General features: G+C 44.6%; 1 protein-coding gene across 4 annotated transcripts in view; it reads right to left on the reverse strand.

The window, feature by feature from the left end:
- The window catches only part of PAMR1 (peptidase domain containing associated with muscle regeneration 1), a 98,474-nt gene extending 83,800 nt beyond the window's left edge, over positions 1–14,674 (reverse strand). For 3 of the 4 annotated variants that reach the window (NM_001282676.2, NM_001001991.3, NM_015430.4), the window contains exon 1: positions 9,887–9,990. In NM_001282676.2, coding sequence (NP_001269605.1) covers positions 9,887–9,959 — 73 coding nt within the window. In that variant the 5' untranslated portion in view covers positions 9,960–9,990. Of the gene's footprint in view, positions 1–9,886; positions 9,991–13,325; positions 13,354–14,300 lie in introns of those variants that run through there. The other variant, NM_001282675.2, reaches the window with a different exon arrangement.
- Positions 14,675–15,719: the final 1,045 nt, after the last annotated feature.

Raw genomic sequence — 15,719 nt, forward strand, 5'->3', positions numbered from 1 at the left:
GGAGCATCATTAGCCCAGAACCACCTGTTCTATAAGACATTATCCCTCACATGCCTACAAGAACCTGCCACCAGCCCTATTTCAAACACAGAGAAATGAAGCCATGGCATGTGAAAGGCATTTCTCCTAAGGCTGGAAGGTGGATGCATGTTAAAACCAAGGAGAGAGAGCAAGTGTCAACAGACAGATGTATGCCAAGTCTTTTGGGATTCTCTTTTTTTTTCTCTCTCTGACAGAGTCACAGATGAATAGAATGGGACTTTGGCCTGAAAAAGGGAGCCTCAAGAGGATCATGTAAGTTTCGTCAAACTATAGACGAAAACACCCAGTATCATTCCTTCTCAATTCCTTGTGAAACTTGTGTTAGTGAGAACAGTACAAGAAGGAAGGGGAGGAGTATATGACAACTTTAATTTCTCAAGTATTCCCATTTTGCCAGGGAACTATGCTAAGTATGTTAAATGGATTATCTCATTTAATACCTGCAGTCAACCTATGATATAGACACAATTATCCTCAGTCTGCAGATTGGAAGGTGATAGGGCCACATCAGCGAGGGGAAGTAACTTGCTAAATAAAACCAGCCATAAACGACAGAGCGAGGATTCAAACCCTGATCAGTGTTTCAAACCACAATACTTTATACCCCATGCATGTGCACATACTTACATATACACACACAAATATGCACCTCATATGCCTACTTTTATTATGCTGTGTGCATGCACATGTAAACTTACATCCATTCTAAGAAATCTGTATCAAAGATGAATTCGGTATATATTCAGTGGGGGCTGAAAAGATCATAGTTTCCCAAAATCCACTTAGGCAAGATGTCCTTTAAAGGAGCAGCTGATTTCATTCCTCATCCATTGTCACTGCAGTCATCCTGTCTGAAACAAGTCCGGGCAGAGAGAGAAGGCACACAATGCTAGGGCCAAGGGAAAAACCGTGTTGCATGACAACAAGAACAATATTTAGCGAAGGCAGGAATAAAGTAGGTCCCACAAACAACAAACAAGGGGTCAATGAACAGCGCAAACCCATGTGCTGTCTCTATGGGATACAGCCCCAGTGTAAACAGACAGACCACTTTCAGGTTGTGCAAATCAAGGTCACAGTGACTGGGCTCTACCAGAACTGACAAACACAAGAGAATTTTGACCACAAATTGGACCACAATTCTTACTTTACATTATAGTCAAATGTTTGGTAGTCGATGATGATCTAATGAAATATCAGTCAGGTAGAAACAGTGACAATGCAGGGGGCAGCTCAAACAAATAATCGCAAGGGATTAGAGAAGCCTCTGTGAGAGGGGGGAAGGGGAAAAAAGAGGTGGGAGAAGGGAGTGATTAGACCCTAGACTTAATGTCCCAGGGATTAGAAGGATGCTCAAATATTCTCTGTAGACTGACGATAATTGTATCTGACATGATACATCTAGCTGAGAAGTCAAGTCACAGCTCTTCTCACTCCCCCAGACTGCCACATCATCAGGCGTGCTAACAAATGAGATTCACAGCTCAGTTTGCCAAATGATCCAAGACCACTCACATTACTACAAGCACCTGGAATACAGGAAATGAGTTTTCTCCATAGCCCAAATTGATTAGTGCTGGCAAGAACCTTTCTCATAGGAACATGGATGTGCCATCATCTCATGGCCCTTTCAACATCTCAGCAAACGTTAAGTGATGAGGACATCAGACTTCCTACTCATACCTCAGCAAAAGTCTGAAGAGAAGCCCATGATTCTTAGACTTTCAAAGTCCCTTCCTACCCTTTCCTCTGTAATGGTGAGATATTCTTCCATGTTTTATGCCTTATGGGCAAGAGGTCAGAGTTTTCCAAACTGTATTCCATGAAGCACTAATTCCACTGGATGGTATAAGGTAAAAAGACAAAAAGAGGCTCTGTGGTCAAACAACTTTGTGAAATATTTCATTATAAAAAATGAATTATAGCTTTCTTTACTGCAGGACTCTGCAGAGTCTATAATCTCCAAATCCCCCAGACTTATTTCATCATAACATCCTGGATTCTGTTTACTTTTGCTGAATATCTCCCAGGATTAGCATTTCCTGAAACCCATTTTGGGAAATGCCAAGCTGAACCATCAGTTCTCTCAGTAGATTGCAAGTGCCTTCAGAAAAAGGACTTTGTCCTGTTCATCTTGATATTGCCAACACCTATAACCATGCCTGGCACCCGATAGGGGCTTGATAAGGATTACTAAATAAATACATGAATATGGACATGGGAGCATGTGTGATTCCAAGTGTAAAGGCTATTTGTGACAAAGACCGATGTTAGAATCTTCTCTTGCTGTGACTTTTCAGAGTCTCTATTGTACAGAAAGAGGAATCCATTGGGTCCATTAGTGAATATTTTTGTTGACTGCAATTTGTATCTCATTTCCACGAGGGCTTGAGATACTTACCCATTCTGTTCTACCAGTGCATTGGCCACAGGACCAGGCTTGCCCAAAAGGGAGGCTGAACACCATTGAGAAGCAGGCAGTTAACCCCCTGGGAGGCAAAAAGCCAGACCAAAAAGTGTTGTAATGAGGATTCCTTACCACCAGCCATGTCCTCACTTCTGCTTGTATCCAAGTAAGCAAAGGTAGGTTGAAAATTATAGGAGTAGATGATACCAGGTAGAAGCTAAGCCCAGGCAACTTGTCTTAGGACATTTCAGGTGTTCTCCATCATTCTCGTTAACTTCTAAGGAGGGATCCCATGGTGGATGCAAAAGTCTAAAGGGAGGCTCATGTTTCTTAGACTTTCAAATTCCCTTCTTACCCTTTCCTCTTTAATGGTGAGATATTCTTCCACGTCTTATGCCTTACGGGTGAGAGATCAGAGTTTTCCAAGCTGTATTCCACGGAGCACTAATTCCACTGGATGGTATAAAGGAAAAGACAAAAAGAGGCTCTGTGGTCAAACAACTTGAGGTGATCAGAGAATTAACTGATTACTTCAAGTTGTTTGACCACAGAGCCTCTTTTTGTCTTTTTTTCCCTTATACCATCCAGTGGAATTATAAAGTAAATAGAAGTGCAACTGGATTTGAAAAACATTGATGCTTTAGTTTCTTGGAGTCATCCAACAATTCATTTGATTTCAAGCAAAACAACCCAACATCCCCTCTCCATCCAGTGGTTTTTCATTAAGCTAGCTGGAATTTTTTTAACCCACCATCAATTCAGTGCATGAGGACAGTTGTTGTGTCAGTGTGTGAGGACAATTGTGTCTCACCCGAGCTAAAGTTAGCTAAATGTGTTCCTCACTCTGTTCTGGCAGCAACAGCCTGGTTTTCCAAACATCAAGTCAACTGACCAGACTTCTACTTACAGAGATGCTTGCTGCCAAACCACTAACTCAACCCTCTGAGACAGCCAGAACCTCAGAGAGGGCAATGATAAAGATGCCCAGACTGCAGAAATAAAGGCATTTATCCAACACCAGAGAGAGAAGAGTGAGAGAAATAGTAGTCTTCATAGCTGCTCAGCCAAGGGGGCCACTTCTTTAAATAGCTGACATAAGATCCAGGACACTGGTGTCTGATAGACAGTAGATCCTCATTCAAGGTTGAGATGAATTGGTTAAAACCCATCTTAGGATTAGAGGAAAGGGATTGAGTCTCCATCCCCTGCAATATTCATCAACTATGTTTTGCCAAAAAAGAAGGGGGAAAAATGCTCCCGCTTATTCACTCCAGGTCTGCTCCTCCCATCCCATGGCTTAAGAGTTTACACAGAACACATCCATAAAGGAGCAGACATACACAATGTCAGGGCCACACTGGAATAAATGGTCTCATTAGCAATTCTGTTCCTCTGCAAACAGACATGTGATTTGGATGATAAAAATTTACCATGGGACAAAGAAATTCTCACCTCTCATGTCTACTGGGAGCAAGGTACATGACACCATGGACAGCTGTCCCAGAAACTGGTTGGACTTTTGGTCTGCCTGGCACCCCTGTTTCCTCTAGGGAATGGCTCCTCTTGGGTTCCATGTGGTGCTACTGGGGCTGCTGATGCCTCTGTCTTTTTCCTGCATCCACTCCACCTCCACAGAGGTGAGAACATGACTTGACACAGGCCAATCTGGGCACTTGGGATGTTCCAGGGATAATCAGACACCCTTACTAACACCATGATTTTTTATCATTTCGCCAAAATACAGCCAGCAGATCTGCCACCGTTGGACCTACTGCTTACTGTGGTGGTGGTGTGTCACATTTCAGGGCATGCCTTATGGAGTCAGACTGGATTCAAAAACATGGATATCCAGCTATATGACCTGGGCAGGTACTGAAACCCTTTGCCTAAGCTCTTTTGTGTATGAAGTGGGGGCAAACAACAATAGTACTTACCTCCTAGGTTTGTGGTGAGGATTAAGTAAATATATATAAAGCATATACGGGAGTGCCTAGTGTTTACCACAAACTCAATAAATTATTTGGATAGCCAAACTTGGGATTCATTTCCTTAGGTATGCTAGAATGGAAGCCTCTTCAAAGGTGTTTCCACCATTGATGATTGTATCATCAAGGGTAAAGATGCCTTGATGTGCAACCCCTACTTACTCCACTCTCAACCCACGTGGGCCCTGAGTCTGTCTCATAGACAACTGCAACCAAGTAAAAGGGGTAGAGTTGAGTAGGAGGTAGCAGTCACACTGATTCAGAGATTAATATCTCCAGCCAACTCCAATTCTCTGCCTTCCTTGAGCAGTTCTGTTTACAGGTATGAGATCTGGTGTGTCCTGAATTTTTTACTTCTTTCTCTTCATTTTAATCTAAAGCTCTCGCCCAGGTGTTGAGATGACTGACAAACAGAATTCCTTAAACATAGACCAGGCTTGGAATCTAATAGAGTTTCTGCCACTGATCTGGTGCTTTCAGTTTTCCAGCTGGCCTCTGGGTTCTCTGCCCTGGAATTTAGGAACTGGAAAATGTAAACATTGCATTTCCCTCCCCTTTAAAATAAAAGAGGAGGGAGGCTGGGCTCTTGTGACTTTCAAATATCCACAAAGTGAGGATGACAGCTCCTCCCCAATGAGGGGGGAATGGGGCACAATATTCCCTCATTTATCATGGAAATGGCACTTTTCCCCATTTGCTTACACCCCAAATCAACTGCAGCTTCTAGAGCTGGTCTCAGGGGAGGCAGGTAGAGAAGTTTTCTTTTGCATCAGGATTGGCCACCCCAGTGGGGCAGATGGAAATAATTTTCAGATCTAAGACCTGTCATTAGGTCCCAGGCACCATTATGTTGGCCATTTCTGTCTAGCCAGTATAACCCAGATGTGGATAAGATTAAGTCAAATCCATTGTCCATGCCAATGGCATTCTAAAGCCCTCCCCAAGACTTCTGCATATTCCTGAGGGACTTACGCGCTCTAGGTCACCTCTGCTTCTGGGCTCCCATGTCTAAGGTGCTTTGTTCACAGGTTATTGACCCAGATATAACACCCAGCCCTGTCTTCAGTTTCCACTGAAAGCTTATGCTCAAGGGCATTCATGAAAGTAAAACATTTTACTAAAGAGTTGGAGGTCACAGAGAGAGGTAAGATTATGCTCCATGAAATATACAGATTAAAATATGTTAGACACTGATAAAAGTCTGATGTACCAGATGCTCTGAAAAATCCTGTTGGCCAATTAGTCCTCAGCAGCTGAACTCCCTTGTTTCCCTCCATTCACCATCCAGCCTTCCACCTTCTCCCTCTCATTCCCCCTTCCTGTCCCATCCCTCTCAGAAATGGAGGTCAAAACTTCAAATGCTAGTAAGGATTAGCAGGTATTAAACATATGGGTTGAGAGGTGGAGTGTCAGACCCTAGAGAGGATCCAGCCTACCTCAAGACATTCAGGTTCAAAACACTCTGAAGCACTTGTGTCCTACTAAATAAATTCTGCAGGCCTTTTGGCTCCAAAGGCTGCCAGTTTCTGGTCTATCAGCACAGTCTCCCTCTTTGCCACAACCAGCCAAGAAGCAGCAACAATGCCAGTAAAACAGGAGCTAGCAAGGGCTCTCTTTCCCCTGCTTCATGTGCATCCTGAAACCCTAACAAAGTTAGATGTCCATCAGCATAATCAGTCCATGTGCTGGATGTGTGAATATATGTCCTCCAGGTAACGGAGGAACTTGGGTTCAGAAACTAGACAGCCTGAGCTCACCCTGGGCTCCACTACTCTGCCAGTGTAGTTGTTTATTTATTTATTGTGGAAAATATATACATAACAAAAAATTACCTTTCAAATCGTTTTTTGTTTGGTTTTTTTTTGTTTTGTTTTGTTTTGGAGACAGAGTCTCACTCTGTCGCCCAAGCTGGAGTGCAGTGGCGCGATCTTGGCTCCCTGCAAGCTCCACCTCCCAGGTTCACACCATTCTCCTGCCTCAGCCTCCCGAGTAGCTGGGACTACAGGCGCCTGCCACCACGCCCAGCTAATTTTTTGTATTTTTAGTAGAGACAGGGTTTCACTGTGTTAGCCAGGATGGCCTCGATCTCCTGACCTCGTGATCTGCCCGCCCTGGCCTCCCAAAGTGCTGGGATTATAGGCATGAGCCACTGCGCCTGCCTCAAATCGTTTTTAAGTGCATGGTTCAGTGGCATAAGTACATTCATACTATTGTGCAACCATCACCACCATCTATCTCCAGAACTTTTTGCTATTCCACATTGAAACTCTGTACCCATCAAATAATAACTCCCATTCCATCTTCTCCTGGGCCCTGGCAATTACCACCCTACTTTCTGTCTACATGAATTTGACTATTCTAAGTACCTCATATAAGTGGCATCACAGAACATTTGTCTTTTTGTGTCTGGCTTCTTTCACTTAGCATAAGGTCTTAAGGTTCATCTGTGTTATAGCACGTATCAGAATATCCTTTATTTTTAAGGCTGAATAATATTCCGTCGTAGGTGTATACTGTATCTTGTTTATCAATGGACATTCGGGTTGTTTCCACCTTTTGGCTATTGGGAATAATGCTGCTATGAACATTGATGTAAACATATCTAATCAAGTCCCTGCTTTCAATTCTTTTGTGTATACACCCAGAAATTGAATTGCTAAATCAAATGGTAATTCTATGTTCAATTTTTGGGGGAACCATACTTGTATATCCTTAAACCTCTGTGTATCATAGAACCTCTCTGAACCTCATCTGTAAAACACGGATAATAACAGCAATGCCATTTCAGGGTGGTCTGAGAATTAATGCATATGAAGCCTTTGGCTCAAAGACTGGACACATTAATAAATGTTCACTAAATGTTTGCTTGATGTTTAATCTCTTCATCCTCTGAATTGAGGGACTCATACTAAAATAATTTCTAAAGTCACTCTCAGCTCCTAAACTCCATGATCCCATCATTAAATTATTTTCCTGTTGGGGATGCCAGGAGCTCTCAGATTGTATATTAGGGGAACACCCTCTTCATGATCCCCGCAAAAATCCACCCGTGCCAAGAAGGCCCAATTTTCCTAGCTTTCTCCTAGGAATTTGCCAACATATCCCAGTGTAATCTCACATCTCATTTTTCTTGCCACTCCTTCTCCCTTGCTTTCTTTCCATGTTTCCTTTCTCGGCTGGCTTTTCCTGCCCACTGAATATCTGCACTTCAAATTATCTTCCCTGGTTGCATTTATGTTCATTCCCCACAAGTTAATGTCTGTTGGAAGCAACACTTGTGAAGTTCTCCAGATTAAGTTTTCATTCCCAAGAGTCCCATATTTTAAATGAGGTTTTCCTCTTCGGCAGAATCACACTGGCAGAGCTACCGCAATTTGGTGAAGTCAGTGGAGTTGGGTTTCTCCCCTCATTCTGTTTATGTTGGGTTATCGCTTGGCCTCATGTTTGGATTCTCATCCTCCCAACATGTGTCACATGCCAGTGAGAAACAACACTCTCTGGTACCATCCCAGTGGATGTTTACAATTCAGCAAATACTCTTTTTAGAAAAGTTAATTAGAGGAAATACGCTTCCAAGCTTTTCTTGCCTGGGGCCAGATTCAGCATCCCAGCAGGGAGTGGACTTCCTTCACTCCTTGAGGAAATATTTTCCTTCTCCACGCTATTCCTCCGTCTTCCCTCGAAATGTGAGTAAAACATTCAACAACTAAAATATCCTTGCTAAACACATGAAGCTGCGCTCTGGTTCAGGCAGCAGTTTAGCTACCAACAAACTGCGTATCCTCTCTGAAGCTTTTTCACAGCCAAAGGTAAAAGAGGTTCTCGGGTCAGAAATAAATGGATTTTTCAGATTCTGGGCTAGGAAAAAGAGCCAGCTCAGGTTTTTTTATTTTCTTTTAAACTTTTATGGCTTTGAAGCGCCTCACCTGCCATGTAATAAAACAGGAAGCAGGGGAACGCTGATGTAACCCTGAGGAATCAAATCCACTGAGCCCTGGCACTCTGAGAAGAACCAGGTCCTCTGGAGCTGGTCCACCGACACCATGCAAAGGCGAAGATGAAGTAGGGAGGTGCCTTAATGCAAAGTCACCCACTTACCCCTAGGCAAGTGTTTAGGTTTATGGATTGTCAGCCCTTATGAAGGGCTCCTTCTTCCTTTATTATTGTCTTTGGGCTGCTCCAGACACCATGGAGGCAAAATTCAAATGAAACACTCACCATCTTTATTGTAAATCATTAAGGAAGATCCTACCTGGGCAGGCAGGCTCTAGGTAGATGGAAAGTATTGACCAAAATGAAGGGCAGGGGGGTTTGTGTATCTCAGCTTTTCGTTGATCATGAAGGGATGTGCCTATGGCTAAGTTTCCCTTCTACACAGGTTATTGCATTTAGTATCCTCCCCACCCGACCTGGCCTGTTTCATTCTCAGGCACTTGCCAGCTACTTGCAGCGGCAGAGCACCCAGCTCTCAGATAGAGTTCAGGTGACAGGTAACCAGCACAGAAGGGAAGCAGCGAAGGCTCGTACATAACCTGCCCCTATTCAGAGCTGCCCCGTTTGGTCATTTCTGTACATCTCGGCCTGCCCTCATCTCATGAGGTCTCACTTTACCCCCTGGGCCATAGAAGGACAGATGTTCCTATGACGTTCCCACTTCCCCGCCTGCCAGCAAGCAGGATCTGCCATGTCCTCGCTTCTGCCCTTAGCTGGATCTCCGTATCATGTCCCAGCCTCATTTGTCCCCAGAAGCCCATTTGACCTGGGGATTGTGGCTTAGAAAATGATATATGAAAACCAAAGAAGCCAGAGCTCTTTCAAAACAAACCCTATGCATCCCAGAAACAATCTGCACTTTTAACCTTGGCTTTTTCTTCTTTCTCACTCTCATCAGAAAGGAAGTGTGTCTATATATGCTGAGTGAGTCAATCTCCTGTGCTTGGATCTACTCCGAAGGGGTATGGCTGTAGGAGTTCGTGAAGCAAGATTCACCAGAAGAACACCAAGCAAGCCCTGCTCTTTATTCCTTTCTTTCTTTCCCTCTCTTCTTTCTTTCTTGCTCACCTCTGAGGGAGCCCTTTCCAAGAGAAACTTCGCTTTTGCAAGTCAGAGCGGGTAACTCAGAATTGATTCCCTAAGGCAATTTGGTACTTTTAAAATGATAAAAAGAGCAAATAAAATAGGAGCTGGTCCGCTTTCCTGAGACAGTACAGCCCCACGATTTGGGATGACAAAACCACGTCACAGTCTCAGGGAGGGCCACAGGAGCTCCAGCACCACCAGCCAAGTCCCTAAAATTATCACTGGAAAAGCACCACCCCCCCTCAACCCCTCACCCCAAACACACACAGCCCACCTCCTGAGACTCCCAGTCCTGCTCCCAGGCAGACCCCAGGAGGAAAATGCTCCCTCCTAGGGTGTCCTCCTAGGGTGTCCCGGACGCTACTCACAGTACCTCTTGGCAAGGACGAGATGAGAAGGAGCTGAAGAAAAGTGAGCCCCAACTGCGTCCAGCAACCCAGCTCCATCCTTGCCGCGGCTGGTGCCCGAGCGTCTACTGGGGAGGGAGAGGAGGGACCCAGGGAGGCCGGGGGCAGGCGGGTTTTACAGGGACCTCCCCGAGCCCCAGCTGAGCGGGAGCTCGGGTTTCAGCTCGCCAGGCTCTCCCATCCTCATCTGAGGGGAACCACCTTCAGCCAGAGCGACGTCAGCCCAAACCTCTCCTCTCTGCTGCCTTAACCCTTGCGGGGCCCCGGGAGGTGTGGCCACGCCTGGAGACCCGCGGACGGCGGCTGCAAAGGAAGCTGCGGGGGAGGGAGGCCAGCCTGGGTACAGGTGGGGTCCCAGTGTTGGGTGCTGGGAGGAGGGGCCATAGGACCCTGGGCGGGAGCAGAGGTACCCAGGGCTGCGGGGCGCTCAGGTGAGGCCGGGAGATCTTCCTACGGGAGGCTGAGACGGGAGCTGGCTTTGCCCTCTCTGACTGCACGCGGGGAGCCTGATTAAAAGCCTGGCCTGAGGAGAAGGAGGAGTTGGTGATGGGAGGAGAAAGGGAGCCTCCCTCCACTCCGCACGCAACACTCCTCGTTTATCTCCTTTCCTCTCCGTTTGCTCCAGGTGATCACAGGTTGGAAAGCTTATTATCTTTTGCAACTACAGGCTACTGGAAAAAGTTTTCCTCTTCCTATGATCCCCGTCATGGTGAATTCAGCGACATAAGCAGCTCCTGAGCTACTGGAAAAAGTTTTCCTCTTCCTGTGATCCCCACGATGGTGAATTCAGCAACATAAATAGCTCCTGCGCACACGCCAGGCAGGGATGGCGAAGAACACACAAGAACCCTCACTGCCTCCACCAAAAGGGCTCAGTTTAGGTACAAGATAGCAAGTGACATCTCGAAATGAGGAAGAAGGATGTTTCATAATAGGTGACTTTTTAAAATAAACTCCTCCGTGCCAGGTGTCATGTACCTTACATGTATTAACTCAATTATTCCTCACAATAAACCTAGCCTCTGTATTTTACAATTAGAGAAACGGAACCATTGAGGATTACAATAACTCATCCAAGGCCACACAGTTAGTGAGGGGCAGAGCCAGGGTTTGAACCCGGGCAGCTTAGGCCCACAGGCTATAGTCTTAGCCACTAGGCTATAGAGCTTCTTAGGATGCTACATATGCAGAATTGTATTTCACCATTTGATATGGCTTCGCTGTGTCCCCACCCAAACCTCATCTTGAATTGTGGTTCCCATAAACCCCACGTGTCATGGGAGGGACCAGGTGGAGATAATTGAATCATGGGGACAGTTACCCCCATAAAAGTTTTAATTTTGTTCTCTAGATGTTGGCGGGCCCTGGTGGTTTACAAGTAGGGTGTGCTGAGCTCAAAGCAAAGTCTCGGGAAGAGAAGTCACCCTGGACTATTGATGAAGGCCTGGAGTAAGGATTAAGAAATGGAAGTGGAAGGGAAAAGATAAGGGGAGAAACCTGAGGAAGGTAGAATCTGTAAAGCTCAGGACAGATCAGAAGGTCAGGAGCCCTGACACAGGTGCTCTACTAGAAAGAATTTCTGAACTCCAGCCCTGCTTCTGGGGGCCTATTGCAGTGAAGTGACTGGAAGCAAGAACTCAGCAGGCCTGTGTTCTAATTTTGTTGATTCACCACTTTCTGGCTGTGTGACCTTAAGCAAGTTAACTCTCTGAATCTCAGTCTTCTCATCTATAAAATGGAAATAATAATCAAACCTACTTTGTAGATCACTGGAAGAATTTAATAAGATTACGCATGTAAGGCCCATAGCACAGAGCCTACCACATATTAAGTGCACACTAAATATTAATCATTATCTCTATTATCTGACCTGAGACTGCCCCCAAGAACATCTCATGGTATGAGTCTTGTTCCTACACTCAACTTCCATATCGAGATGAAATCAGTTAAAATAAGCACCAAGAGTAGCCTTAAACAGGAGCAGAATACCAGAGGGCAGCATATACCTAAGAGGTAGAGGGCAGAGGTTCGAAGAAGGGAGGTTCACCTTGTTGCTGGCCAACCAGTCCTGGTCCTTTGGTGATGGGAGTGGGAAGAAGATGACTTAGTTCCCAAATAACTGTAGGCATAAGAGCCTCTCAGGAGTCTGTTTCAACTCCAGCTGACGGCACCTGAGCTTTACAGATTCTACCTTCCTCAGGTTTCTCCCCTTATCTTTTCCCTTCCACTTCCATTTCTTAATCTTTACTCCAGGCCTTCATCAATAGTCCAGGGTGACTTCTCTTCCCAAGACTTTGCTTCGAGCTCAGCACACCTTACTCCTAAACCACCAGGGCCCACCAACATCTAGAGAACAAAATGAAAACTTTTATGGGGGTAACTGTCCCCATGATTCAACTATCTCCACCTGGTCCTTCCCATGACACGTGGGGTTTCTTTTCATCTTCCCTCTCCCCACCTCCCAGCCCCCACCACACACACCTCTCTGAGTCAATACCAAGCAGCCTCATCCCTACATGAATTGCATCCCCCTGACAGAATGGGGCTCTAAGTGATGAACCTGAAGGATAGCAGTCTATACCACCCCCAAATATGCCCCTTTGGCATAAGGATTATTTTGAGCTGAAAGCAGTTAAGAAGAAGTAGATACAAGAATAGGTCTCTGTTCTCCCCCCATTTTCCTAAAAGCAGACTTGAATTTATAAAAGTATAGTGTCTCCACCTCCCCTCTCTACCAGGACGGACAGAAGTTAATCATTGGAGACAACCCTAGACCCTTATCAGCCCAGAGGAATCTACATACCAAAACTTACTAACTAGTCTTATCTCCCATTAGGACCCCCATTTATTTATCTTCCCATAATTTGCTACCCCTAGAAGCTCAAAGTCCTTTTTGTTTGTCTTGCCACTTCTCTGCAAATTTATTGTTCTTTTTAAAAATGCAATATGAACCCAAATTCTAACCATCTCTTTGAGTTACTCCTCACTAGGTATTTCAACATGTAAGCACCATGCACAAGTTAATAAAAAACTTTTGTTTGTTTTTCTCTTGTTAATCTGTTTTTTCTTTTTTTTGTCATTCTAATTTACAGGGCCACAGCCAAGGAATCTAAGATGGGTAGGGAAGAAAGATTATTTTTCCTTCCCAACAAACCTGTTTGGCTATTTGCTAAGGAAGTCCCTGGTACCAGGTCTTTACTTCTCTAGGTTCAGGGGTCTGGAAACAGAGGCCCTTCTTCTGTTTCTGGAATCCCCTTCAAGAGTTGATTTGTTAGTTTGTTGTCACTAATTTGGGTTTGTAAATTTCCTAGAGCTGAGGACCTGGAAAGAAACTCTCAAAAAGATGCTCTGCAAAGGTGGAGGATGTATTTTTCTGGAGAAGTCAAAGCAGTAATCAGATATTACCTTGTTGAACTGCACAATAATCCCAGGGCTGGAAGAGAAAGAGGAGAACTGTTATTATGACACAGAAAAGTCAGTAGTTTACTGAGGACATTCAGCCCTACACAAATTTCTGTTTTCCTACACAAGTTTACCTTTCTCTGTCCCCATTATGGTCAACTGCATTTTTCATATTGATAGAGTTTAGTATTGTTCTAAATCAAGGATTCTTAATCTGGAAGCTCCTGGTTGAGATGGGGTTTTTTGAGGGACTTTGAATCTTCCAAAATCATATGCAAATTTTTGCATGCAGGTTTTTGAATAAGAGGGAGCCATAGCCTTCTCATTTGCAAACTCCCAACTTTTTTAGAATCACTAATCTTCGTAAGTTAAAATTGAAAAATGGACCAAATATTTCTCAGATTTGGGGAAAGTGATTTTGTGAATATATACAATCATTGAGTCTAGGCTATAAACTGCACAGTGGACATTTGGAGGGCCCTCTCACCTCCTCCTCACCTTTAAAAAACTATTTCTGACTTAAGAGCACTTGCTCTGGACCATACTGACTAATGTTGAATGCAGATGGACCACTCGCTACCTGTGTACACTTGGGCATGTTATTTCACATATGATGGCCTTGGTTTCCTCATCTGTTAAGTCTGAAGAATAGTACCTGTTGCCATTAGGGCTAGAGTAAAGAGCTCAAAACAGTGCCTAAAATATACTAAGATATCAGTAAATGTTAACTGTTTCTGTGATGCTTATCTCCCCCTCTGCCCTCACCTCCTACCACTGCTTGCTTCGGGGAGAATAAATCACAAGAAAGGCTGTGTATGAAAAAGACAAAGTGGCATGCTGGGAGATAGGGCATGATACCTGGAATTAAGAATTATCTACTAATAATCAGCATCAGGAATAAAAAATTGGCTGTAATAGACAGAGTCAGGCCACCCATTTAATTACAAGTCATAATACCCACTAATTTTCACATGGTACCTTTTTCAGTGCCACCAGGGAGGCTGGTTGCATGTGAATCCACAGGGAGAAACAGCAGAGGAGACTGTCTTTGTGAATTCTTACAGTTCCCTCTATCTCCCAGCTATCACTTCTGCAGATCAGCAGCTAAGCAGCAACCACACACTGGGAAAGCCAGAGGAAACAGGCCAGAGGTAGAACTGGTCTGCAAACCTATAAGAGGCATCCCAGACTTCTGGTAATTAAGTTTGGTTTCCATCAGCTGTGCAAAACACCAAGTTCAAGTCAGCCAAGGCCAGAGATGGAGAAGGGCAGGATTGTGGAAAAGACAAAGGGCCCTTCCACTGGAGCCTGCTGTAACTGGCCCCTTCATGGAAGTCTCCAGCCCTAATGAATCCCGGCTGTTCACCTACACAATGAGCAATCATGTTCTGCCTCAGGTCTGGCTCAGCTCCATTCCCTTCCACTGGGAGCCAGCAAGGGGGTAGGTACAACTGTGGTTCTTTCTCAGGCCACATTCTTCTGGCTCTATGTCATTGTTCACACAAATTGCTGAAAGTCGGCAAGCTTTTCTCCTTCATAGTTAATATGCTCCTGAATCACTTGGGGAAACCTGTTCTTGACATCCATATGTATATTTATAAACTTCAATTTTTAAAAATGTTGTCTGCTATGCAACTGAACTGCAAAGCTTTACAGAGAACACTGGCAAAAACGTTGACCACAGTCCAAGTGGCTAACTCAAAAACAGTTGAGTCATTTGGGTAGGGAAGAAAACAAAAAATAGAATAACTCCAAGAGAAGGTAATGGAGTACAGTGGCACACAAAAAAGTCACTGTGGTGAAAAGATCCCCATATGGATCAAGGCTCTACTATGTATGAACCTGGGCAAGTCCATCAGTCCCTCTGAGTTTCAGTGTCCTCCTCTGTCAAAAGGGGTAATAGCTACCTCTGAATTTTGGTGAGAAGACTACAATGATGCTGTTATACATAATAGGAGCTCAATCAATGTGTACCATTTTTTAATATTATAACTACTGTAACTATCTATCTATGAGCACCTCATCTTGGAGTTGTTAAAAATAGGATGGAGAGAAGTGGCTTGAACTGAGAGGCACTGAGGAGGTTAGAAGGATGAGATCTGTGATTGATGATACATGGAGGATAACAGTGAGAGAGCAGTCAAAGATGATTCCCAGTTTAATGACCATGTGGTGGTGGCTGGTGCATGGTGGTGTGCTGGAGGAGCCCCTTTGTTCTCTGTCTCTCTCAGATTACTCTGTCTGGGAGAATCTGGGAACAACCCTGTGGAGAGTCTTACATGGAGAGGAAGTGAAGCCTCTTGACAGTAGTCACCTGAATGAGCTTGAGAACATATCCCCCAGTCCTTCAAATGACTGCAGCCCCAGCCAGCAACTTGGCTGCAACCTCATGAGAGA

Source organism: Homo sapiens, chromosome 11 (genome assembly GCF_000001405.40).
Source record: "Homo sapiens chromosome 11, GRCh38.p14 Primary Assembly".
In the NCBI taxonomy this organism is placed as follows: Eukaryota; Metazoa; Chordata; class Mammalia; order Primates; family Hominidae; genus Homo; species Homo sapiens.